General features: G+C 49.8%; 1 protein-coding gene across 5 annotated transcripts in view, besides 2 other annotated features; it reads right to left on the bottom strand.

Annotated features, from left to right (window-relative positions):
• Nucleotides 1,738–1,807: an enhancer, noted in NCBI's record as "active region_512". NCBI's record gives its function as "activates an Ori minimal core promoter by ATAC-STARR-seq in GM12878 lymphoblastoid cells {active_cell/tissue: GM12878}" and the evidence as "EXISTENCE:reporter gene assay evidence [ECO:0000049][PMID:35858748]".
• Nucleotides 4,724–4,853: an enhancer, noted in NCBI's record as "active region_511". NCBI's record gives its function as "activates an Ori minimal core promoter by ATAC-STARR-seq in GM12878 lymphoblastoid cells {active_cell/tissue: GM12878}" and the evidence as "EXISTENCE:reporter gene assay evidence [ECO:0000049][PMID:35858748]".
• RPS6KA1 (ribosomal protein S6 kinase A1) overlaps nucleotides 9,718–25,612 on the bottom strand; it is a 45,265-nt gene continuing 29,370 nt past the window's right edge. For 4 of the 5 annotated variants that reach the window (NM_002953.4, XM_024448871.2, NM_001330441.2 and 1 more), the window contains 8 exons: nucleotides 23,892–24,017; nucleotides 23,609–23,698; nucleotides 23,080–23,238; nucleotides 13,133–13,294; nucleotides 12,818–12,894; nucleotides 12,450–12,567; nucleotides 11,382–11,519; nucleotides 9,718–10,664 (listed from right to left, as the gene is read on the bottom strand). In NM_002953.4, the coding sequence (NP_002944.2) occupies nucleotides 10,542–10,664; nucleotides 11,382–11,519; nucleotides 12,450–12,567; nucleotides 12,818–12,894; nucleotides 13,133–13,294; nucleotides 23,080–23,238; nucleotides 23,609–23,698; nucleotides 23,892–24,017 (993 nt within the window). In that variant the 3' untranslated portion in view covers nucleotides 9,718–10,541. Of the gene's footprint in view, nucleotides 10,665–11,381; nucleotides 11,520–12,449; nucleotides 12,568–12,817; nucleotides 12,895–13,132; nucleotides 13,295–19,230; nucleotides 19,397–23,079; nucleotides 23,239–23,608; nucleotides 23,699–23,891; nucleotides 24,018–25,612 lie in introns of those variants that run through there. The other variant, XM_047427258.1, reaches the window with a different exon arrangement.

Raw genomic sequence — 25,612 nt, 5'->3', positions numbered from 1 at the left:
TTGCTCTTGTTGCCCAGGCTGGAGTGCAATGGCATAATCTTGGCTCACCACAACATCCACTTCCAGGTTCAAGCGATTCTCCTGCCTCAGCCTCCTAAGTAGCTGGGATTACAGGCATGCGCCACCACGCCTGGCTAATTTTGTATTTTCAGTAGAGATGGGGTTTCTGAGGCTGGTCTCGAACTCCCGACCTCAGGTGATCTGCCCACCTCGGCCTCCCAAAGTGCTGGGATTACAGGCTTAAGCCACCACGCCTGGCCAATCTATGCATTTTGTTGTATGTAAATTAAACCTCAGTATTGTTGATATAAATACACACGTGGAGCTCCCTCATGGTCTGTCAGCCTGCAGTCAGCAAGATAACCCCTTCTCCCTGAATCATGGGTGATTAACAACCCCAGTCAATCTACAGGCAGCTCATCAGCACCCCCAGGAGGTGAGCTGGTAGCTCACACTCATCTCCCTGGCAGAGGCCCTCAATGTGACCTCAACCAATGACCATTCCCAGGCCTTATAGAATGCTGATCTTGTTGGTCTCAGCCAACAGAAGGAACTTGACCCCTGAGAAGGCTCCTTTATCAAGACACAAAGTGGCCAACTTTGCAGTCAGAGACTTGGGGGTCCAATTCCAGCATCAGGCTTCCTTCAGCACTGTGTGACCTTGGCTAAATCGATTAACCTCTCTGAAATTCAATGCTCCAGAAAGTCAAGAAGCCAATTGCTCTCATTTTAGTATCTTCCGTGTCTGGAACATAAGTTTTTAATTTTTGTGTTTTTTAAATTTAATTTAATTTTTTTTTTTAATGCCTAGTCTCTCTCTGTCACCCAGGCTGAAGTGCAGTGGCACAATCACAGCTCACTGCAGCGTCAACTTCCCTGGCTCCAGGGATCCTCCCACCTCAGCTTTTCTCAGCTTTCCAAATAGCTAGGACCACAGTCACACCCCACCATGCCTGACTAATATTTTTGTATTTTTGGTATAGAGGGGGTTTCACCATGTTGCCCAGGCTGGTCTCAAACTCCTGGGCTCAAGCAATCCACCCACCTTGGCCTTCCAAAGTGTTGGGGTTACAGGTGTGAGCCACCGTGCCCAGCCTGGAACGTTAAGTCTACTGAAAGAACTATCGCACAGTGCTGTGGCAGGACTGCTGTTCTACATGCTTGAAAAGTAAAAGTGTTATCTGCTCCCCTGGATAAAATGTTTCTTAACATCTAGGAGATCTTGAATTCCTTTGAGAATCTGATGACAAACCCTGTACCCTCTCCTCCCAGGAAGATATACAGGTCATTTTACATATATCCCCATGCCTGGGATGCCATGGGCCCTGAATTAAGATCCCTTGGTTCTGGAGCATCTCACTTAGGCCTGAAGGTTCTATCAAGCATTCTTGCAATTCAGCCATCATTTGTTCTGGATCGGATTCCTGCCAGAGCCTTTATCCTCATTGTTTCTTTTTATCTCCTCCATGACTCTCTGATGATGGTCTGCAGATGAGGGAAATAAGACTTAGGCCAAGTGACTTGCCCAAGATCATATAGTTAGTGATGGCTGCTGTTGAGATTTGACCTCATTTGTGTCTTCTGATTCCAACCCCCACTCACAGAAGCCCACAAAGGACCCAGTAGCTGAAAAGCTTCCTAACGACTGCAGGAATGACTTTGCCCAAGTCCAGGTCTGGAAAGAAGATTCTGCAACGGATGAGTGACCCCAGGCCCATCCTAAGTGCAGGCCTCATGCCCAGCTCCAACATGTGTCATCACCCCTCGGTTTCTCAACTCAGCCCACAGCGGGCGGGGGTGGTGGGGAGCAGAAGAAGGGAAGAGAAACAGAGGAAATTATAAAAAGAAGTCTCAGACTGAGTCATAAACATGAGTTATAACTCAGAGAGAGGTTCTGGAAAGAGAGTAAAGGTCATAATGAAAGGGCTCCCTCTTTTCATGGGGCAAGGATGCTTAAATGAGCTGACCTGTCCAGGTTCTGGATATGATTCCTTCTACTTAAACCGGTGAGAAGGCCAGGCGTATTGGCTCAGACCTGTAATCGCAAGGTTTTGGGAGGCTGAGGCAGGAGGATCAGTTGAACCCAGGAGTTCAAGACCAGTCCAGGCAACATGGTGAGAACCCAGCTCTACAAAAAAATAAAATAATAAAATATAAAATAAAAATTAGCCAGGCATGTTAGTCCGTGCCTGTGGTCTAAGCTACTGAGGAGGCTGAAGTGGGAGGATTGCTTGAACCTGGGAGGTCGAGGTTACAGTGAGCCATGATCATACCACTGCACTCCAGCCTGGGTGACAAGGCAGAGTAAGACTCTGTCTCTAAAAAATAAATAAATGAATCATATGAGTAAATCAAGGTAGAGAGATTAAATGGCTTGCCCAAGATCCACAAGCAAGTGGTCAAAGTTGGATTGTAAGCCAGGGTTGTTTGTCCCTCAAGAAAAAAAGTTTAACAAAACCAGGACAGCTTAATCCCAGGTCTGCACTTAACCACACTACTCTAGCCTGCTTCCCACGTCCTCATGTTGTTTGCTTATAACTGAGCAGCTCCGTACACACTTCACACGCTCTCTCCTCTTTATTATTTATTTATTTATTTATTTTTTCTGAGACAGTTTCACTCTTGTTGCCCAGACTGGAGTGCAGTGGTGCAATCTTGGCTCACTGCAACCTCTGCTTCCCAGGTTCAAGCGATTCTCCCGCCTCAGCCTCCCAAGAAACTGGGATTACAGGCATGCGCCACCATGCCCAGCTAACTTTGTATTTTTAGTAGAGATGGGGTTTCGCCATGTTGGCCAGGCTGGTTTCGAACCCCTGACCACAGGTGATCCACCCGCCTCAGCCTCCCAAAGTGCTGGGATTACAGGCGCGAGCCACTGTGCCCGGCTATTATTTTATTATTTTATTTTGAGACAGAGTCTCACTCTGTCACCCAGGCTAGAGTGCAGTGGCACGATCTCGGCTCACTGCCGTCTCTGCATCTCAGGTTCAAGTGATTCTCGTGTCTCAGCCTCCCAAGTAGCTGGAATACAGGCACTTGCCACCACGCCTGGCTAATTATTTATTCATTTTTTGTATTTTTAGAATAGATGGGGTTTCGCCATGTTGGCCAGGCTGGTCTCAAACTCCTGGCCTCAAATGATCCGCCAGTCTCAGCCTCCCAAAGTACTGGGAATACAGGTATGAGCCACCATGCCCGGCCAACACTCTCTCCTTTAATGCTCACTATCGCTCTGTTTGACAGTTGAAATGTCAGAATAGTGAAGCAACTTGCCCAAGGTCACATGGCAGGTCAGCATTAGGGCTGGGATATGATCTCGGGTCTGTCTAGCTCTGCCTGTTCCCATTACCCACTGCTGCCTTCACAGATGAGTGGGGCAGGAGCTGAGGCGGGAGGGAAAAGGTGGGGACCACTGCAAAGGCCCTGGGAAATGATGGCCCACGAGGGCCTCCTGCTCACTTCTCTGGGTCTTTCCCTCTCCTTGGAGTAGCCTTAGTACCACTCCTTTGCCTGCCACCTGCAACTACCTCCACTGGGGGTGGGGTGCTCATGTAGATCTCTCTCCTGCTTCTGTTGAATCATTTCTCCCTTGGGTCCCCAGGAGTTAGTGGGAACCCCCCACAAGAAGTGGAAGCTACTCAGAAGCCCTCAGTTCAAAGTGGAGGAACTTTCCAACTGTGTGGGGGATTGCCTTGTGATGTGGTGGATTCTCCATCACTGGTGGTATTCGAACAGAAATTGGAAACCATCTGTGGGAGATTCCTATAGTGGGTGGAGGTTGAGTCAAGGCCTTTAGAGCCCTTCTGACTGTGAGATTTTTTGAGTCACTGTGGGAAGATATTTAGCCTGTGCACCAGGGTTGGTTGAATAGTAGGACACACATGAGCTTGGAGCCAGATAGGCCTGGGTTCAAAACCTGGCTGAACCACTTCCTTGCTTGGAGATTGTGGGCAAGTGTCCTCCCTTAGCCTCAGTTTCCTTGTTATAAAATGGAAATTGTAGGCCAAGTGCAGTGGCTCACGCCTGTAATCCCAGCACTTTGGGAGGCTGAGGCGGGTGGATCACGAGGTCAGGAGTTCAAGACCAGCCTGGCCAACATAGTGAAACCCCATCTCTACTAAAAATACAAAAATTAGCCGGGCGTGGTGGCGTGCACCTGTAGTCCCAGCTACTCGGGAGGCTGAGGCAGGAGAATCATTTGAACCTGGGAGGTGGAGGTTGCAGTGACCCGAGACTGTCCCATTGCACTCCAGCCTGAGTGACCAAGCGAGACTCCATCTCAAAAAAAAAAAAAAAATAAATAATGGAAATTGTAATACCTCCCTCATTAGATTGCTTTTCATATTAGGGATGATGTGTATACTCTGCCTGGTTAAAGAAGGAACTCAAGACCTTGTGCCTACCACGGCCAATGAACAAATGACCAATCATGGGTCGGCGTGTTCTTTGTGGCCTTTCATTACGGGGTGAGTGAGTGAATTAAATCCATGTGTTAACCAAGGTGCTAACTGGTTGAATTATTTAACATATGTAGGAAACCAGTCTTTTCTCTGTGGGGGCCTGTCTCTGAAATAATCATGGAAAACATGATACATAAGTGGGTAAAATGCAAAAAATGCTCAGGGATTTTGATGTCTGCATCAACAATTGAGAATCTGAGTCTCTGACCCAAAGGGGACATGTGAGATCATCTAAACTGTCCCCTATGGGAAGAGGAATCTCCTCTAAGACCTCAACACGTCATTAGTGCGCTGTGTATGCAGCACAGGGGATGGGAATGCTCTACCTTCTGAGAATGTCTGCAGGAAACTCCCCAAATTCCCCATCTTGTTTTTTACAGCTTGCCAGCTGGGAAATAGAACTTTCCTACTGTGTCCTCCAATTGACACCAGACCCCAATGTTATGGGACCTTTATGATCACCTGGCTGGCTGAGGGGAAGGGTGGTCACCAGACAGATCTGTGGCACGTGTGACTAGGTCTTGGGCATTTTCAGAAGCAGAGAGGCTGGACAGCACACTGGTGAAGTGTGAGTTTCAGAAACATAGAGATCTCAATTTGAGTCCTGCTCTGCCTCTTAGCTGGGTCCTCGGGCAAGTCATTTAATTTCCAATCCTCAATTTTCTTGTGTGTGAAATTATCACATCTCCCTCATAATGAGGATCAAATGAAATAAAGTAAGGGAAGCACTTGGTGCCCAGCACTCCCATCACGAGCATTTGATTGATAGATGGGAGCCACTATTTTATGGGAGGGGACATTCTGCAGGGTGAGTGCTCAGGGGTTGTTATTTGGGCATTAAAGGGAAGAGTGGCCAGCCTGGGCAACATAGCGAGAACCCGTTTCTACAAAATAAAATAAAATAAATTAGCCAGCTATGGTGGTGCACACCTGTAGTCCCAGCTTGTTAGGCTGAGGTGGGAGGATCACTTGAGCCTTGTAAAGCAGAGGTTGCAGCAAGCTTGGGTGACAGAACAAGACTCTCAGAAAAAAGGAAGAGTGACTGTGGAACTTGGGGACATGAGGATTGATCATTTGTTGTCCCAAGCTGGGTTATTGCTATTCGTGTTTTTTTTTTTTCACTTATTTAAAATATTTCCTGGGAGCATAGATTCAAGTTGCCTTGAATATACACTCTCATTAGTGGGTTTAAAAACATTTTTACTTTTTTTTTCTTTAAATAGAAACGGGTCTTGGGTCTCACTACATTGCCCAGGATGGTCACAAACTCCTGGCCTCAAACGACCCTCCTGCTTTGGCCTCCCAAAGTGCTGGGACTATAAGCGTGATCCACCATGCCCAGCCTATTAATGGGTTTTGTCCAGGCAGTCAGCACTCAGAGAGGAAAGTTCCTACTGGAGGTGCTGGTGGCTGGGAACTGCGTTTCTGGAGTCCAGTGAGTCCCTGGGGGGCTGTCCCGACCTGTGAAAACTATAATGAGCCTAATTGCAAAGCTTTTTACCTTCCTAAACACATTCATATTCACACACTCATTTGATCTTCAGGTGATGCTGTGAGGTGGGCAAGAATTATCCCCATTTAGCAAGTGCGGAAACTGAAGCCCACAGAGGTGAAGTATTAGGGTTTTGGGGTTTGGCTGCTGAGAAACCTATGGACTCCCACCCCACCCACCCATCCACCATTTCCTGGTTCTTGGATCTTCCTTCTGGTGCCTGGGGCAAGACACTAACAGCTCAATGCCTCAGAGCACCAGCTTCCCTTCCACCCCAGATGCCTTTCCAGGCTCCAGCTCTATGCTTCCCCCAGCACCATCAAGTCTGCTCTCTCGTTCACTCACCCATTCAACAAACACTAGCTGAGGACCAAAAAACTGTGTGCCAGGTGCACAGGATATGGAATGAACAAAGCACAGCCCACACCCTCAGGTTCACAGACTAGTGGGGAGAAAACACATCATCAGCTGTTTCCAAAAGTGTGGTATACGCAGAAATGGGGCACAGAGCGGGGTCTGAGGACCCCAAAGGAAGGTCACCAAACAGTTTGTGGTGTCCTAGTTGGCTTCCTGGAGGTGTCATTTGAATTTTCCTAAAGGATGGGAAATTAGCAGGGCACACGTGGCAGCAGAATCCAGTGGAGGCAGAAGCACGGCAGGTTTGGGTCTTGTGAGCAGTTTGGGGACAAGTTACAGAGTTGACACTGGGATCTTGGTGGGGGCCAGATCACACAGGACACTGAATTCAAGCGAGGATGCCTCAGCAATATCTTGTAGACAGTGACGAGTCACTTCAGGGCAGATGCTGGGTCAGATTTGTGATTGTAAATGGAGGATGTTGGGGACACAAAAGTCTGGAGAGATTTAGTAGGCTACTGGAAGAACAAAAATATGAGAAGGGCAGGGAGGATGGAGAGGAGGGGATGGATCCTCCAAATATTTAGGAAACAGAATTGATGGTGGCAGGATGCAGAAGTGGGGGGAAGGAGGCAGGGTGATGCTCAGGATTCCAGCTGGGTGATGGGGTCCAGGGGAGACAACCCTGGATGATGGGTGGGACAGGAAATGTTGGTTCCAAGATGGGGAAACCAAGTCTCCAAGAAGTGAAACACACAGGACATGGGTTGGGGCTAAGTACCACATAAGTGTCACTGGTTGCAAAGGAGGGCTTCCTAGCCCATGGGGCCCCAACAGCACCCTCCTTGCTCCTGTGGGGAGGCTGCCGGGCTTAGAATCCGTACACTTAGGCCAGCCCCAAAACTTAGCTGCTGTTATCAGAATCTCCTTCCATCATAACAGGACTTATTCACTTCTAAGGCCCTAGCTTTCTAAAATCTGTAAAGTGGGGCGGCCGAGACATAATGGAAACCAAGGCCTGGTTCATAAGGCTTGGAATCTTGCCAGACTGGGGGTGGGGGGGTCCTCTGGCTGTCATCCCTGAGTGTCCCTTGCTGGTGCTCCAGGGCTCAGCACAGGCATCCCCCCACCCCCTCATCTTTGCTCAGGCCCTAGAACAGCACTTCTCAAACTTTAATATGCACAGAAATCACATGTAGACCTTGTTATAAGATAGATTCCTATTAACCAGGTCTGGGGACAGGCCTGAGATTCAGCACTTCTACCCAGCTCCCAGATGATGCTGATGCTACTGGTATGTGGACCACACTCTCAGAAGCCCCGTCTCTTGGCTTTGCAAACTTTCTCCAAGCTAATGACTTCCAAATTTATCTTTCCAGTTCAGATCTCTCCCTAGAACTTCAACTTCTAATTACAACTCTTATTTGACATCTCCATTTGGATATTTTTATTTATATTTATTTATTTATTTTTTGAGATGGAGTCTCGCTCTCTCACCCAGGCTGGAGTGCAGTGGCACGATCTCGGCTCACTGTGAGCTCCATTTTCTGGGTTCATGCCATTCTCCTGCCTCAGCCTCCTGAGTAGCTGGGACTACAGGTGCCCGCCACTAGGCCCGGCTAATTTTTTGTATTTTTAGTAGAGACAGGGTTTCACCATGTTAGCCAGGATTGTCTCGATCTCCTGACCTCCTGATCCGCCCGCCTCGGCCTCCCAAAGTGCTGGGATTACAGGCATGAGCCACTGCGCCCGGCATAATTTTCTATTATTTTTAGTAGAGACGGGGTTTCTCCATGTTGGTCAGGCTGGTTTCGAACTCTCAACCTCAGGTGATCCACCTGCCTCGGCCTCCCAAAGTGCTGGGATTACAGGCGTGAGCCACCATGCCCAGCCATTTGGATACTTAAAAGTTACCTCCCACAGAGCTCTAAAAATTTTCCTCAAACCTATTTCTCTCCAATGCTTCCCCCAAAACTCTTTCCCCAAAAATCTAGAAGATATCCTTGAATCTTCTGTTTCCCTTATCCTCTGCATGCAAACTGCCAGCAAGTGCTGTCTACTTTACCTCCAAAGCATATCCTGACCCCATCTACTCCATCCCAATCTCCATCCCACCACCCTAGTCCAAGCCACCTCATCTCTTGCCTGGGCTACTGCAGTAGCCACCAACCTGGTCACCTTGCTTCCCTCCTGCCTCCCCACCTCACTGTCCAAATTCTCTACAGAGCAATCGGAGTGATCTTTTATTTTTTTGAGACAGTCTCGCTCTGTCGCCTGGGCTGGAGTGCAGTGGTGCGATCGCGGCTCACTGCAACCTCTGTCTCCCAGATTCAAGCAATTCTCATGCCTCAGCCTTGCGAGCTGATGGGTGGGAGCATGCGCCACCACACCCAGCTAATTTTTGTATTTCTAGTAGAGAGAGTTTCGCCATGTTGGCCAGGCTGGTCTTGAACTCCTGACCTCAAGTGATCTGCCTGCCTCGGCCTCCCAAAGTGGTGGGATAACAGGCGTGAACCACTGCACCTGGCCCAGAGTGATCTCTTAAAAATGTGAATCAAATCATGATCAAATCATGTCACTTTCCTGCTCAAATTATTTTAGGAGCTTGCGCCTCACTCAGAATTAAATGCACGCCTAATCCTGGCTTACAGTGCCTAGCATAACTGGCCTCTGCCTCCTTTCCAGCCTCATCTTGGGCAAACGCCTGGCTCTGGGGTCACAGCTACATCAGCCTCCTCTCATCCCTGAGCACACCGAGCCTGTTTCCCCCTCATGGCCTTTGTCCTGACTGCCCTCTGCCTACCAGTCTTGGCTGACCCCTTCTCACCATTCAGATCTCAGCTCCTGGGTTACCTCCCCAGAATGGCCTTCCCTGATTACCCAATATCTCACCCCAGTTTAATTCTGTATGTGTCTTATCAGTAGCTGACCATGGCTTGTTAAGTGTCCGTTTCCCCTACTGGGAAGTAAGACCCCTGGACACAATGACCTTGTTCTTTACCTGGTTCACCAGCATCCAGAACAGGGCCAGAATGAGTGCTCAGAAAATACTGCATGAGAAAATGTCATTCCCCAACTTGAGCCTGTTTCCCCATCTATAAAACAGGGATAATACAGAGCATCTACCTCACAGGGTTAAGATTAAATGAGATATTCATGTGAGGCCCAGGCATAGTGCCTGGCACTTGGTCACCATTGGCTAATAATACTGTTATCAATACCATAATGGAATCCCCTGGCAGGAACACGTGGGCCAGGCCAGCGGGATTCCCACACACTCCCCAGATGACCTGGTTCCAAGCAGCTGGGCTAACTGGCCCTGGCCCATTTTCTGTCACTGCCAATGTCTTCAACATCCGATAGCAGAGAGAGGGTAAATTCAGGGATGAAGAGTGCAGGAGAGCGTGCTTCAACTCAACAGTTTATTAGAAAGGCCATGGACAGATGAACCCTGAGTAACCAGCTGAGGAAGAAATGAAAAAAGACCCTGTCCCTCATGGCCCGCCCACTGGCCTCCTGTGAACTCTGTCCTGTTGCCAACCCCAGATGAAGTCAGCCAAAAAGTGCTTTCCACATCCTCTCTCTGGGGCTGCCCAGCCTGACCGCAGGGGATCCACTGGCAGAGCCAAGGTGGATGCTGGTGCCTGAAGCTGGAAGCCAGCAGGACATGAGACCCCTCCTGTAGCAGGAAGTGGTTCTAGAACTCCCAGCAGAACAGAACGGAAAAGGAGCTGATTGGGGATAGAATGAGTTCTGCTAAACAGCCAGATGCTCTGAGAGAGGTGACACTGGACTGTCTCGGAGGTGTGTGCAGATGGCTACAGGTGGCCAATCGTGGGGGTCCCCAGGGTGGGATCCCAAAGCTGCTCTAAAGAGTCTCAGAGAGCCCCAGCGTGACTCAGTTCCCCTCCTGGGGCCGCAATGGCTGTTTCTGCTCCCAGAAAGGCAAATGGATCTTGTAAAAATCCATGGTGGTTGATGCCATTTTTTTCATAAAAAAAAGTTTATACAGTGAATCGCTTTCCACCAGCAGAGCCTGAGCCGAGAAGAGTCCATCCTGGGGAAGGAGAAGGCACTTCTCACACCCTCATTAGGGGTGTTCTGGGCTGGCAGCTTCCCCGGCCCCTCGGGTTCCAGCTCCCTCTGGCCCTGTGGTTCCGGCCTGCTCCCTCTGGGAAGCATGCTGACTGTGTCAAGCTAGCACCGCCCTGTGGCCCGAATGCCCTGGTGCCTCACAGGGTGGTGGATGGCAACTTCCTCACTCGCCGCTGGGCCAGGATGGATGACTCGATGGGCTTCAGCTGGGGGGTGGGCTTGGAGCTGTTGAGTGCGGAGTACGTGGCAGCCATGGCTCCCTGAAAGAGAAGTGGGGAGGTCAGGTCACAATGGTGGGAGATGTAGCGGGGAGGGGATCCATGCCCCAAGGGTAGGCCAGCCCCTCTCAGTGTTCCACAGCCCACTTTTTTTGGTTTTGTTTTTGTTGTTTTTTTTTTTTTGAGATACAGTCTCACTCTGTCACCCAGGCTGGAACGCAATGGCACAATCTTGGCTCACTGCAACCTCTGCCCCCAGGGTTCAAGCGATTCTCCTGTCTCAGCCTCCCAAATGGCTGGGATTACAGGCGCTTGCCACCACACCTGGCTAATTTTTGTATTTTTAGTAGAGATGGGGTTTCACCATCTTGGTCAGGCTGGTCTTGAACTCCTGACCTCGTGATCCACCCACCTCAGCCTCCCAAAGTGCTGGGATTACAGGTGTGAGCCACCGCGCCCAGCCTAGCCCACTGTTAATCCAGCCTCAGTGGTCCTTTATGGTCATGGGTCCTGCCTCCCCCATCAGACTGGAGGGTTCAGAGGTCAGCAGCTGTGCCTTCCAGAGGATTGGGGGCTGTGAGTGCACCGTGACACTGTAGCATGTTAGGCTCCCTGACGGCAGGGCTGTGTCTTCTTCTCCTATGTTCCACCTCATGGTGCTTGGTACAGACATGGCATTGCCTGGCTCTTCCACAAGTCCCTGACCATGCCACCTTGGGCTGACCCCCCAGATGCCCAGCAGCCCAAGGGTGGCCATACCTTCACAAGCTGTAGGTCCTGGTGGGACAGCTGGCTTTGGGGAAGCTTGTCTTTCTGGGTGACCCATGGATGCTGCAGAACCTGCTTAGCTGTGAGGCGCTGGTGGGGATCCACGTGTAGCATCTTGGACACCAGGTCCTGGGGACACAGTGGGCAAGGGGGTTGGGGGAGGGCTGCAGGGGAGCAGGCCCCTGATGGGGCACAGGAGGGCAACCATCTCCTGCTAGCTCCCGCCTGAACCCTTGCGGCAGCCCCTGGGATCCATTCTCCACTCTGCTCCAGGGCTCCCCGCACACAGCCAAGGTTCCTGTCGCTGGGCCTTTGCTGCTCTAGGCCCTTCGTCCTGGAACACCCTTCCATTTCTCCTTTGCCTTCAAAAAGCCATGTGGGAAGGTGGGAAAAGCCTCAGGTTTGGGCTCAGACAGATTCAGGTTCAAAACTTGCCTTCTGCACTCATCAAATGAGTGCCCTGGGCAAGTTCCTTCAACTCTCTGAGCCTCAGTTTCCCTGCTGAGAAATAGGAATAACCACTCCCTGCCTCACAGGTTGATGTGAGGTGGCCGGCCGTACATAGAGGGTTCAACTCTGTCTGGCATACAGGTTCCCAATGACCAAAAACTGTTGCTAATACTGAAAGCTCACATGCTACTTCCTCCGAGGAGGCTCTGCTTGGCATGGCCAGTTGCTCTGCTCTGTGTCTCCACGGTCCACACCCCTGGCCAAGAGCGTCCGCCTATCTGTGCCTCCAGGCATCTCTGCCCCTTGTGTGCAAACCTGTATCCCTCACTACACTACGTTTCCACAAAGCCGGGACTGTGATGATGCAGCCCTCAGTGCCCCACAGGGTCCAGAATGAGAAGGGCCAATGAATGATCACCAGGTTACCCCAACAAGGTACGGAGGTGGTGGTGGTCTGCCTGGGAATCTTCCGCTTGGAGAAATACAGCAACAGGGATTTGTGGAACATCCGCTTGGAGAAATGAGGCTGTTCATGAACTGCTGAAAAGCCCTAGGATGGGACCCTGCCTCCCTCCTCCAAATAAGCCCACGCAGGCCGTACAGACTCACCTTGGCTGTCTCTGAAACTGTGTTCCAATTTCCCCCACTGAGGGTAAACTTCCCACTGCCGATCCGGGTTAGGATTTCCTCTGGTGTGTCACTGGGACCGTTGGCAAATGGAGTATATCTGCAGAAAAGCCCGCACGGTCTGGGTACAGACTCTGGCCTCCATACTGGGGCTGGGGCTGCGGTGGGAGACTGTGTCTCCCCCTCAGATGGGGTACTCCCAAGGTAGAGCTCCTGGAGGCAGGAGCATGTCCCTATTTCCAGACCATCCTGGGGCGGGGCTGGCTGAGCCATTCCTATCAGACAAGCACCACTCAGCCCAAGTGCTAGGGCTGCAGGAGTGGGGAAGGGTCCAGGCCAGGGGCACTCACCCTGCCAGCATGGTGTACAGCAGAATGCCCAGGCTCCAGATGTCGCAGCCTTCATCGTAGCCCTGGCGCTTCAGCACCTGGCAACAGGGCAGGGGAGGTGGTCAGTCTGGGGGGGCAGTAGAAAGTCGCCACAGATGTTTCCTGCTACTCCCCTCAAGGGCAGGACAAGGGTCCCAGGCACAGGCTAGATCTTCCCTTGCCAGCTGGGCCAAGGTCACAGAGACTGGAGTCCCGGCTAATGTGGGGCCTCTGGGAGGGGGCACAAGGCCTCCAATTCCCCCTCACTCTTACAGCTGAGGAGGCTGGGCCACTCACCTCAGGCGCCACAAAGTTGGCTGTGTAGCAAGGTGTCATGAGGAGCCCATTCTCAGCCCGCAGCTGTTTGGCAAAACCAAAGTCACAGATGCGCAGGCACTCGGGATTCCCGGACTCGTCCACATACAGGATGTTGCTGGGCTTCAGGTCCCTGTGCACAACCTAGGGGCAGGGGGCTGGGGTCAGTTCTCAGTGTGGGGAGGTGGCTAGTGGCCCAGGTCAGCGGCCAGAGATTAGAAAGCTACACAGACAGGGTGCAGAGGGACGGGTGCATGGACTTGGCATCCGAGAGAAGGGGAAGGGGCTGAAATGATGGTCTTATTGCTGCTGCTACTGACTCTGTGTAGGTGTCTACAGGTAGCTCTAAGTTAACCTGTCAAAACTGAACTCTCAATTCTCCCCTAAAACCTACTCATCACATAATCTTACCTTGTGGCAACTCCATCCTTCCTGTTACTTAGGTCAAAATCTTAAAAGTCTTTTTTTTTTGAGATGGAGTCTTCCTCTGTCACCCAGGCTGGAGTGCAGTGGCACGACCTCAGATCACTGCAGCCTCCGCCTCCCGGGTTCAAGCAATTCTCCTGCCTCAGCTCCCAAGTAGCTGGGATTACAGGCACCCGCCGCCATGGCTGGCTGATTTTTGTATTTTTAGTAGAGATGGGGTTTCACCATGTTGGTCAGGCTGGTCTCAAACTCCTGACCTCAAGTGATCTGCCTGCCTCGGCCTCCCAAAGTGCTGGGATTACAGGCGTGAGCCACCACGCCTGGCCCTATTTTCCTTATCTTTAAAATCAAAGAATACACTGCTTTACTTTTATCTGTAGCACTTCCCACTACTTAACATAATATTTAATTTGTTTTCTGAGTCTGCCCACCGGCATGTAAGCTCCCTGAGTGTTTTGCTCACTGCTGTATCCCAGCACTTAAACTAGCTCCTAGTACATGGCAGGTATTCAATAAATATCTGTTGAATGAATGGATGAATGACACTTACTGCTGAGGCCATAAGCAAACGGCTTTCCTCTGGGCCCTGTTTGCTCATCTGTAACTTGAGGGGGCTGAACCACCCCACATTTCATTCTTCTCCTCCCCACACTCTGTAAGGCTTTTTTGTTTTGTTTTGTTTTGAGACAGGGTCTGTGTTGCCCAGGCTGGAGTACAGCAGCATGATTCATGGCTCACTGCAGCCTCAATCTCTGAGCTCAAGTGATCCTCCCACCTCGACCTCGCAAGCAGCTGGGACTAGAGGCATGTGCCACCATACCCAGCTAATTTTTAAAACATTTTTTGCAGAGACAGGGTCTCGCTATGTTGCCCAGGCTGCTCTTGAACCCCTGGGCTCAAGTGATCCTCCTGCCTGGGCCTCTCAAAGTGCTGGGATTAAAGGTGTGAGTAACTGTGCCTGGCCTGTACAGTTCCATTCATAGTCAATCCTCTAACTATCAACTACCAATACCTCTCAGATCTCTAACCCTAGTCCAGAACTTTTCCTGAGTCTTGGCTCATAAATCCAACTGCCTACCACAAGGCAACCACTGGATGTTCCACAGAGCCTCAAACTCAACACATCCCACACTAAACTCCTCATGTTCTCATCTTCCTGCTCCTCCTCCCCTAAGCTAATGGAACCTCCCTGGGCATTGTCAAAAAACCTTCAAAGGCTCCCTACCTGCAAGATAAAGCCCAAAGTCCCTACCCTAACATGGGAGGCACAGCCATCATCTGTTCCAGCCTCACTGTCCATTGCATCCCTCAGGTGCCCTGAGCTCAGGCCACCAGGGGCTCCTTCGGTAACGATCATAACCCTATGTCTGTGGAATGCCCGTTCACCTTCAGCACCCAGTGCAGGGCCTAGCACAGAGCAAATGCTAAGTGAACTTTGTGCAATGAATGAACAAATCACACCTCTGAAACACAGAGACAGATACCTTGCAGGTTAGATTAGTAGAGTTTTGCAGGTTAGTTGGTTTTATTCAGATAGTCTTTTCATAGTCTCAGTTGATCTCCAAGCCCTCCAGCAATGCCCGTGGAGCCCGTGGAGTAGGTAGACATGGCCCAGCACAGTCCACCTCCATAGGGAGAAGAGTGCCAGGTAGATGAGGGGGAAAGGGCCACACTGTTAGGGTAGCCCCAGCAACACACTGTATCCAAGCCTTGGAGAAAGTCCCGTGGGCTCCCTCCTTCAAACACAATCGTATGCCCACAGCACAAGGCCAGGCCCCCAGGAATGTGGACTCTACCTAGAGGTCAGGGATGCTCAGCTTGGCTGAGGACACCAACTACCCTGCACAAGTGAACTTCCAGTTTACAAAGAATGTTACCAGTCGTGATCTCACTGGAGCCATCCACTGCACCTCGGCGGGTGGACAGGAATTATTAGCTCCATTTTACAGAGGAGAAAACCAAAGCTCTGAGAGGACAATTTTCTTTTTTTTTTTTTTGAGATGGAGTCTCGCCAGCAGCACAATCTTGGATCACTGCAACCTCCGTCTCCCAGGTTCAAGCAATTCTCATATCTCAGCTTCCCAGTTAGCTGGAATTACAGGTGTGCACCACCATGCCTGGCTAATTTTTGTATTATAGAAACAGGGTTTCACCCTGTTGGCTAGGCTGGTTTTAAACTCTGGCCTCAAGTGATCTTCCCACCTTGGCCTCCCAAAGTGCTGGGATTACAGGTGTGAGCCACTACGCCCAGCCTGAGAGGACAACTCACTTGCATGTAGGTTAGAGGCAGAGGCAAGACCAGAACCCAGTTCTGACCTGAATTCCATAGTCTTTCCAGTTTAGTGTGGCACACATGACACTACTGGGACACAGGGATATGGAAGTTGACCTTTTTTTTAAATTAATTTATTTTTCTGAGATGGAGTTTTGCTTTTGTTGCCCAGGCTGGAGTGCAATGGCGTGATCTCGGCTCAGTGCAACCTCTGCCTCCCAGGCTCAAGCAATTCTCCTGCCTCAGCCTCCCAAGGAGCTGGTATTACAGGCATCTGCTACCATGCCCAGCTAATTCTTTGTATTTTTAATAGAGATGGGGTTTCATCATGTTGGCCAGGCTGGTCTCGAACTGCTGACCTCAGGCAATCCACCTGCCTCAGCCTCCCAAAGTGCTGGGATTACAGGCGTGAGCCACCACGCCCGGCTCAAGTTGTTGATCTTTTTTCCTACCCTAATACAACATAGAGAAACTACAAATTCCTATAGGAAACTGTCTCACCACTGCCAGTGGCAGAATAGTAGGGATGGTGAGTGGGGGAGGGGAAGTACAGCTTTAAAAAGCCCCACAGGTGATTCTGATACCTGACCCTCAGGAGTGTATGTTGGGGGAGGAAAAGTATAGTCTCACATCTCACCGCATGGAAAATCACAACAGGCTGGGCAAGTAATGAGTGAAGCCAGGCAGAGTGGGAACCTCCAAGCAGTCCACAGAGGACAGCAGCTACCTGGCTCCAGCTGACAGTCACTACATAGCAACTCGGACCCAGTGTTTTTAAAAGCAGCCAAATTACCAAACCTTACTAAACCATACCTCAAATCAAAAAACACCCCTTATCTTGCAGGCCAAACAAAATATATGTGTAGGCCAAATGCAGGCACTGGAGCAATAGGCCGTGACCTCCAGGAGAGTTGGGATTCCAGTCACAGGAAGGAGTCGGGCAGGCCAGGGTGTGAATCCTGGCTTTACTATCCACTCACAGCTGTGTGGTTTTGGGCACGACATTTAACATCTGTAGCCCTCAGTTTCCTCACTTGTAAAATGGGGCTGATAATAGTATTCAACCCCAGGCTTATAGAGAAGGACAGGAATATTTAGCAAAGGGCTTGGGAAATGATGGACATCACAGTAACCCCAGAACTGCCTTGGACTGAACCCCTCTATCATGCTGGATGTTAAGACACAGTGACTGCTTGGGAAGAAGCACTAGAGACCAGGCCAGGCATGGTGGCTCATGCCTGTAATCCCAGCACTTTGGAAGGCCAAGGCGGGCAGATCACAAGGTTGGGAGTTCAAGACCAGCCTTACCAACATGGAGAAACCCCGTCTCTACTAAAAATACAAAAGTTAGCCGGGCGTGGTGGCATGCATCTGTAGTCCCAGCTACTCGGGAGGCTGAGGCAGGAGAATCTCCTAAACCTGGGAGGCGGAGGTTGCAGTGAGCCGAGACTGCGCCATTGTACTCCAGCCTGGGTGACAGAGCTAGACTCCGTCTCAAAACAAACAAACAAACAACAACAACAAAAAACCCTAGAGACCAGATGCTGTCCAAAGCAGCACAGGCTCTGGGCTGGGTGCAGTGGCTCACACCTGTAAATCTCAGCAGTTTGGGAGGCTGAGGTGGGAGAATCGCTTGAGCCCAGGAGTTTGAGGCCAGCCTGGGCAACATGGTAAGACCCTGTCTCTACAAAAAAAAAATTTTAAAATTAGCCAGGTGTGGTGGCACGCCTGTAGTCCTAGCTGTGTGGGGTGCAGGTTGCCGAGGAGGAAGGATCACTTGAGCCTGGGAGGTCAAGGCTGCAGTGAGCCATGATCATGCCACTGTGCTCCAGCTGGGGTGACAGAGTGAGACCCTGTCTCAAAAAAAAAAAAAGTTAATATGTAAAGTGCACAGAACCCCGCCTGGCCTGTGGAAAGTGGCATATGGCATTAGCTGCCATTAGCAGCAGTGGCAGCAGCATCTTCAGGAGCAGCGTGAGAGGATGTGCATTTAGGCACCTGTGACCAGCCAAAAAAGAGGCGAAGTTGTTCTAAGTGAATCACCTGGTTAAAGGGAGAAGCCCTCTATTATAGAGTCCATAACCTTATAGAAACAACACAGAGGGAGCCTGGCGACTTAAGAAGACTCCACATATTAAATCATGAACTCCTGCCACGTAGGATGCAAAGGAAAGACAACCAATTTTTAAAAATGGACAAAAGACTTGAAGAGGCATTTCATAAAAGAGGCTGTCCAAATGGCAATAAACATATGAAGAGGTCCTCAACTTCATTAAACATCAGAAAAATGCAAATTAAAACTACAATGAGCCGGGCACAGTGGTTCATGCCTGTAATCCCAGCACTTTGGAAGGCTGAGGTGGGCGGATCACCTGGGGTCAGGAGTTCGAGAACAGTTTGGCCAACATGGTGAAACCCTGTCTCTACTAAAAATACAAAAAAATTAGCTGGGTGTGGTGGGTACACGCCTGTAATCCCAGCTCCTCAGGAGGCTGAGGTAGGAGAATCACTTGAACCCAGGAGGTAGAGGTTGCAGTGAGCCGAGATCGCACCACTGCACTCCAGCCTGGGCAACAGAGCGAGACTCTGTCTCAAAAAAAAAAAAAAAAAAAAAAGCTACAATGAGATACCACTCCACACCCACCAGAATGGCAATGATTGAAGAGATTAAAAATACCAACATTGGCAAGTACCAGAACTCTCACACACTTCTGTTGGGAGTGTAAATTAGCAAAAGCACTCTGGAAAACTGTTTGGCAATATCTGCTAAAGACGAACACACAAACACTCTGACCCAGCAATTCCATTGCTAGGTATACAATCAACAGATAGAATGTCACAACAGCATTATTTGTAACAGTCAACAATCTAGTAACCATCTGGTGTCTATTAACAGGAGAATGGACAATTATACATACAGTAGAGTTGTACACAGCAATGAAATGAATGAACAGCAGCCACAAAACAATGTGGATGGATCTCAAAGACAACATTGAATGGCAGAAGCCAGATACAAAAGAGAAAGTTTGTATGAAATTCCAAAACGGGGCCGCGCCTGTAATCCCAGCACTTTGGGAGGCCGAGACCGGTGGATCACTTGAGGTCAGGAGGTCGAGACCAGCCTGGCCAACATGGTGAAATCCCGCCTCTACTAAAAATACAAAAATTAGCTGGATGTGGTGGCAGGTGCCTGTAATCCCAGCTACTTGGGAGGCTGAGGCAGGAGAATTGCTTGAACCTGGGAGGCAGAGGTTGCAGTGAGCCAAAGACCATGCCATTGCACTCCAGCCTGGGCGAGAAGAGCAAAACTCCATCTCAAAAAAAAAGAAAAGAAAAGAAAAGAAAAGAAAAAAATAAATTCAAAAACGGGCAAAATAAACCTACTAGAATTTAGCTTAGGATGGTTATCCTCAGGTTGCGGGGGCTCCAGGAGAACTGGAAATGCTTTGTTTATTGAGCTGGGTACTGGTTACACAGGTGTATTCACTTTTTGAAAATTTATTGACTTGTCCGTTGTGATTTGTACACTTCTCGGTGTTCATGCAATGCTTCAATACAAACATAATATTCAAACAAACAGGGGTCCCAGTGGACCCTGCTCCCTGGTCATCCCCTTCCCATCCCTCAGCTCCTGTGGGATTCCCAGCTTACAGACCACAGCTACTGCTGCTGACAAACCAACCCAGAGGATCCACTCCAAATATCTCAATAAGAAGAGCTTCCCATTCCTCATCATCTGCCCCGGTATTAGCAAACAGCCAGAAACTTTGGAGACACATACACTCCTAGCTTCAGGAAGGAGACGACTTCCTCCAACAACATCCTCACCAAGTGGTTATCTATACTTGGAGCTTTGCACATCCCTAGTGGAAGGAGCTCACTGCCTCTGGAGGCAGCTCCCCTCTTCAGAAAGTTCCTCCTTACTTTTAGCTTCAGGTGACCCACGGGTACACTGGCTTGCCTGTCTTCTAAACCATTTTAAGTTTAACGAGTACTCACTTAAGAACAAAACAGAAAAAAGGAAAAACATTTACTCTCTGACCTGACATGTTTAAATATTAGTCTATTGCACTGGCATTTCAAAAACCAAAGCCACTTCAAACATGACAATTAAAAGCACAGGGGGTAACCAAACTGGAGCTTTGGTTAAGAGGTAAAGTTCTTTTTTACAGAATTTCCCCTAAAAAATTAGACATAATCAGGCATCGCCACTTTCACAACCCTAATGAAATACTCGACTCATGCAAGATTCTGAAAGGATGAAACCATTAGATGAGGATCTTTATAATAAGGAGATCGGACGGTTACCACCTGCCATGGTTAAAGGTGGGCAGCGTGGCCGGGCGCGGTGGCTCATACTTGGTATCTCAGCTCTTTGGGAGGCCGAGGCGGGCAGATCACAAGGTCAGGTGATCGAAACCATCCTGGCTAACACGGTGAAACCCCGTCTCTACTAAAAATACAAAAAATTAGCTGGGTGTGGCGGTGTGCGCCTGTAGTCCCAGCTACTCGGGAGGCTGAGGCAGGAGAATGGCGTGAACCTGGGAGGCGGAGCTTGCAGTGAGCTGAGATCGTGCCACTGCACTCCAGCCTGGGCGACAGAGAGAGACTCCGTCTCAAAAATAAATAAGTAAATTAATTAATTAAATAAAATTAAATTTAAAAAGGTAGGCAGCATGACACTGTGCACTCGTGGATGTAATGCACTGTGAAGTGTACCTCCATAGATTGGATGACGTTGGCCTTCTTTTTTTTATTTTTATTTTTTATTTGAGACAGGGTTTTGCTCTGTCATCCAGACTGGAGTGCAGTGGTGTGATTTCAGCTCATTGCAACCTCTGCCTCCCAGGTTCAAGTGATTCTTGTGCCTCAGCCACCAGAGTAGCTGGGATTACAGGCATGGGCCACCATGCCCAGCTAATTTTTGTATTTTTGGTAGAGATGGGGTTTCATCATATTGGCCAAGCTGGTCTTGAACTCCTGGCCTCAAGTGATCTGCCCATCTTGGCTTCCCAAAGTGCTGGGATTACAGGCATAAGCCACCATGCTCAGCCCAACCTTAGCCATCTGAACCTCATTCCCATCCCCCCCAAAAAACTGAAGCTAATAATGATGTTAGAGCAACTTGCAGTTTACAGGAAATATAGACAATGGAGAAATAATGTAAATGATCCAGGAGGCAGCCGACAGACAAATTCAGAATGTGAGACATTCCACAGAACTCATATACAATATGTCGGTGGCATAAAAAAGGGAGGTCTAATTGTGGAGGCGACATGGGTGTACACATTTAACAAAATTCATCAGAATGTACCCTTGAAATCTACTGTATGCAAATTTTCCTCCAGTTTTAAAAAAGAAGAAAAGAGGCTGGGTAAGGTGGCTTACGCCTGTAATCCCAGCACTTTGGGAGGCCAAGGTGGGCAAATCACTTGAGCTCAAGAGTTCAAGACCAGCCTGGGCAACAAGCCAAAACCCCATCTCTACAAAAAATACAAAATTAGCCAGGTGTGGTGGTGCGTGCCTGTGGTCCCCGCTATTTGGGAGGCTGAAGTGGGAGGATCATTTGAGCGCAAGGAGGTCAAGGCTGCAGTGAACTGCAATTGTGTCACTGCATTCCAGCCTGGGCAACAGAGTGAGACCCTGTCTCAAAAAAAAGGGGGAGAGATTTACCAACTGAATGAAATGTGTGGAACTTACAGGTATTCTAATTTCAATAAACCAGTCAAAAAAGACATTTTTGAAAGGACAATGGGGGCCGGGTGTGGTGGCTCACACCTGTAATCCCAGCACTTTGGGAGGCCGAGGCGGGCAGATCACCTGAGGTCAGGAGTTTGAGACCAGCCTGGCCAACATGGTGAAACCCCATCTCTACTAAAAATACAAAAAAATTAGCCAGGCATGGTGACAGGCGCCTCTAATCCCAGCTACTTGGGAGGCTGAGGCAGGAGAGTCACTTGAACCCGGGAGGCAGAGGTTGCAGTGAGCCAAGATCGTGCCACTGCACTCCAGCCTGGGCGACAGGAGCAAGACTCTATCTCCAAAAAAAAAAAAAAAAAAAAAAAAAAAGGACAATAGGAGAAAAATGTGTCTATGGACTGGGTACTATGTGAAAACAAGTTAACAACCTCATACACCAAGACCTGGACTCAGCCAGGTGGATTCATAGCCTGCATTCTTAACCCCCATGTTGTCTGATCAGATGCACCCTAAAACATTATCTCATGCAGAGAGAAGCTAATGCTACTGTTTTGGGCTTTAATCCACTGTAATGAACTTTCCTACCTCACCGTCATCTAGTGCTCACCTGCCTTGTGCAGTAATAAAGGCCAGACCCTGCCATTTGGACCTATACCTCTTCTGCAGTCCCTGCTACGTTTCCAGCAGAATTTCCTCCTGCATCCATTTCCTCTGCCTTAGCAACTGAACCCAGTCAAATTCACCTCCCTGAAGCCTTGCAGCTCCCCCACGGTGACCCTGCCACTTCCTAACTCAAAAGCCACTCCCCACCTAAATTCTTCAGTCTGAAATTCTTCCATTCTTCCCGGGCTATGTGATATTTAGCAAATGAACTTTCATCTCTGAGCTCCGGTCTTCTTACCTGTGAAGTGGGGCCAGTAACAGCATCTATCTCAGAGTTGTTGTGAAAATCAATTGAGATAATGTAAATCTTATTTATGTATTTATTTATTAGATGGAGTTTCGCTCTGTTGCCCAGGCTGTAGTGCAATGGTGTGATCTTGGCTCACTGCAACCTCCGCCTCCCGGGTTCAAGCCACTCTTCTGCCTCAGCCTCCCAAGTAGCTGAGATTACAGATGCCCCCCACCACACCCGGCTAATTTTTTTGTATTTTAGTAGAGATGGGGTTTCACCATGTTGGCCAGGCTGGTGTCAAACTCCTGACCTCAAGTGATCCACCTGCGTTGCCCTCCCAAGTTGCTGGGATTACAGGCGTGAGCTACCATGCCTGGTCTGGAAACTTCATCTTATGCTAAACCTTACCATGGTGCCTGGCACACAGTAGATACTGAATAACTTTCCATACCTTCCCTTTCACAATTGGCCACATCTCTCCCTCCTTCCTTTGCACGCATCCACCCACCCAGCCCTAGTGTCCCCTCAGTTTGGCTAGCTGGAGGCTGCCATTCCTGGGCCAGCAGGTGGTTCATGTTCTCTGCTGATGATATGACCCTTGGCATCCCCCTACTGCCTCCCCGAATCCAGACTCACCCCCTGTGAGTGCAGATACTCCACAGTTTTGCCAATGGTGTGCAGGACAAAGCTGGCCTCCCGCTCTGAGAAGAACTTCTGCCGCAGGATCTTGTCCAGCAGCTCCCCACCCCGCATCAGCTCTGTCACCAGGTACACGTGTTTGCCATCATCATACACCTGCCGAAGACCTCACCATCAGGCTCTTCTCCCCAGTGTCAGGCCTGAGCCCCCTGGTCAGCAGCGCCCCAGAGCAGGGAAGAATGACATGAGCCTTGGGCAGGTGTTCTGCTTGCTCTTCAGTGGTCCTGCCTTCCCCAAAAGGAGGATGCTGACACTGGTCTCCTGATACGCAAGAAGGTCCTCAGAAAATGTCTGAGTCTGAAGGAGGGCCCTTGGGGTATGGGCAGACTGAAGGGACCAAGGGACCTCCTTCCCCTCCACATGACCACTGGAAAGAGGATGAGAAGTCAAAGGAATGGCAATCCTGAGACAAATCCTGAGAGTTGAGTTCCTGGTCCCCACCCCAGTCTTAAGGACCCCCACTCACATCTTTCAGAGTGATGATGTTGGGGTGCTGGCCATACCGCAGAAGAATCTCAATCTCTTCTGAAGGATCCCGCTTGCTCTTATCAATGACCTGAAGAAAGGGGGTGCATGTGGCAGTGTCAGGGTGACAGGGTCCAGGGTCCTTTCTGGCCATGGAGCAGGCCAGGAGGTCTCGGCCACACACCTTTCATACATCTGCAGAGCTCAGGCACCATCCCTCCCCACCAGACGGGGACCTGCCCCCAACCCAGCAGCCTTGGCCGAGACGTGGTCAGGAGGCCCACCTTGACAGCATACTCCATGTTGGTGGCCTTGTGGACACAGCGCTTGCACTCAGAGTAGGAGCCCACACCAATTGTCTCCTTTACCACGTAGCCGTCACTAAAAACCAGGTTCTTCCCATGGAGTTGCTGTAGGAGACCAAAAATTGTGGCTGACCCCTGGCTCTAGAGTGCTAGGGGTCATCCCCCAGGACCTAAGGTCTTGGCTCAGTAGAGACAGCACCAGGGAAGGGCCAGGAGACTTGGGGTAGAGTGTTGGCCATGTGACCGCAGGTGACAGCCTGCCCCTCTCTGGGCCTCAGTTTTCTACTCTATATAATGGGCATACTCACTGGCTCCCAGCCTGCCTGGACTGCAGCCTGTGGTCAGAGGGCAGTGTAGGGAGTGGGAAACAGGGTCACAACACACATGGAGAGGACTTTAGTTCTGAAAAGTCTGGGCAGGCCTGGGAGGGACGCAGGAGCCCTGAGCTGAGTTCCAGCTGTGCCACTAAGTACGGCTTTGAGTGGCCTGCCTCCCTTTCTGGGGTGTCACAGCTCAACTCATGGGGTGTCTCAAGGTTCTGGGACATTAGCCGTAGCAATGCTGAATGGTGCTTAGTGTGTGCTGTGTGCCAGGCACTATTCTAAGCACTTTCATCAGGTGACTGCATGCCCCACGGCCAGCCCTGGCTTGCGCATGCGGTCCTTGCATCCAGTCTGATTTAATATTTGTCCTGGACTAAGATGTCCCAGTTTGGAAAATAAATTACATAGTCACCTTAACTTTATTTTTTATTTTATTTATTTATTTTTTGAGACAGAGTCTTACGCTGTTGCCCAGGCTGGAGTGCAGTGGTACGTTCTCAGCTCACTGCAACCTCTGCCTCCCAAGTAGCTGGGACTATAGGCACGCGCCAACACGCCCAGCTGATTTTTGTATTTTTAGAGACGGGGTTTCGCCATGTTGGCCAGATGGGTCTGTTTAAATTCCTGGCCTCAAGCAATCCACCCTTCTTGGCCTCCCAAAGTGCTGGGATTACAGGCATGAGCCACCGTGCCCAGCCCACATGAACTTTACATGTATTAACTCTAATAATCCTCATAACAGCTCTATGGAGGAAGCTTCTATCATTTCCCCCATTTACAGATGAGGAAACTGAGGCACGAGGAAGGGAGTATCTCATCCAAAGTCCATTATCTGGTCAGGTGCTCATGTCTGTAATCTCAGCACCTTGGGAGGCTGAGGTGGGCGGATCACTTGAGGTCAGGAGTTTGACACCAGCCTAGCCAACATGGTAAAACCCCGTCTCTACTAAAAATACAAAAAAAAAAAAAAAAAATTAGCTGGGTGTGGTGGTGTATATCTGTAGTCCCAGCTATTCGGGAGACTGAGGCAGGAGAATTTTTTGAACCTGGGAGGTGGAGGCTGTAGTGAGCTGAGATTGTGCCACTGCACTCCAGCCTGGGCAACAGAGCAAGACTACGTCTCAAAAACAAACAAACAAAAAACCCCAAAGTCCATTATCTTGTGAATCTGGAACCCATGCAATGAGCTCCACAGTCTACATTCTTGCCTCTCAACCTGAAACTTTCATTAGCAGTAGAAGTGTACAAATGGGGAACAAGTGTGATGAGATCCAAGTCCTTCGCTACACTTATGCCGGAGACACGACAGTCACTCGGCACCACCACCCTGGGCACCTCCTGACATGTACCCAGACCCTGGCTCTGTGCTGGGAAATG

Source organism: Homo sapiens, chromosome 1 (assembly GCF_000001405.40).
Source record: "Homo sapiens chromosome 1, GRCh38.p14 Primary Assembly".
NCBI lineage: Eukaryota > Metazoa > Chordata > Mammalia > Primates > Hominidae > Homo > Homo sapiens.
The sequence above is the reverse complement of the archived record's forward strand: the minus strand, read 5'-3'. Positions and strand labels throughout refer to the sequence as shown.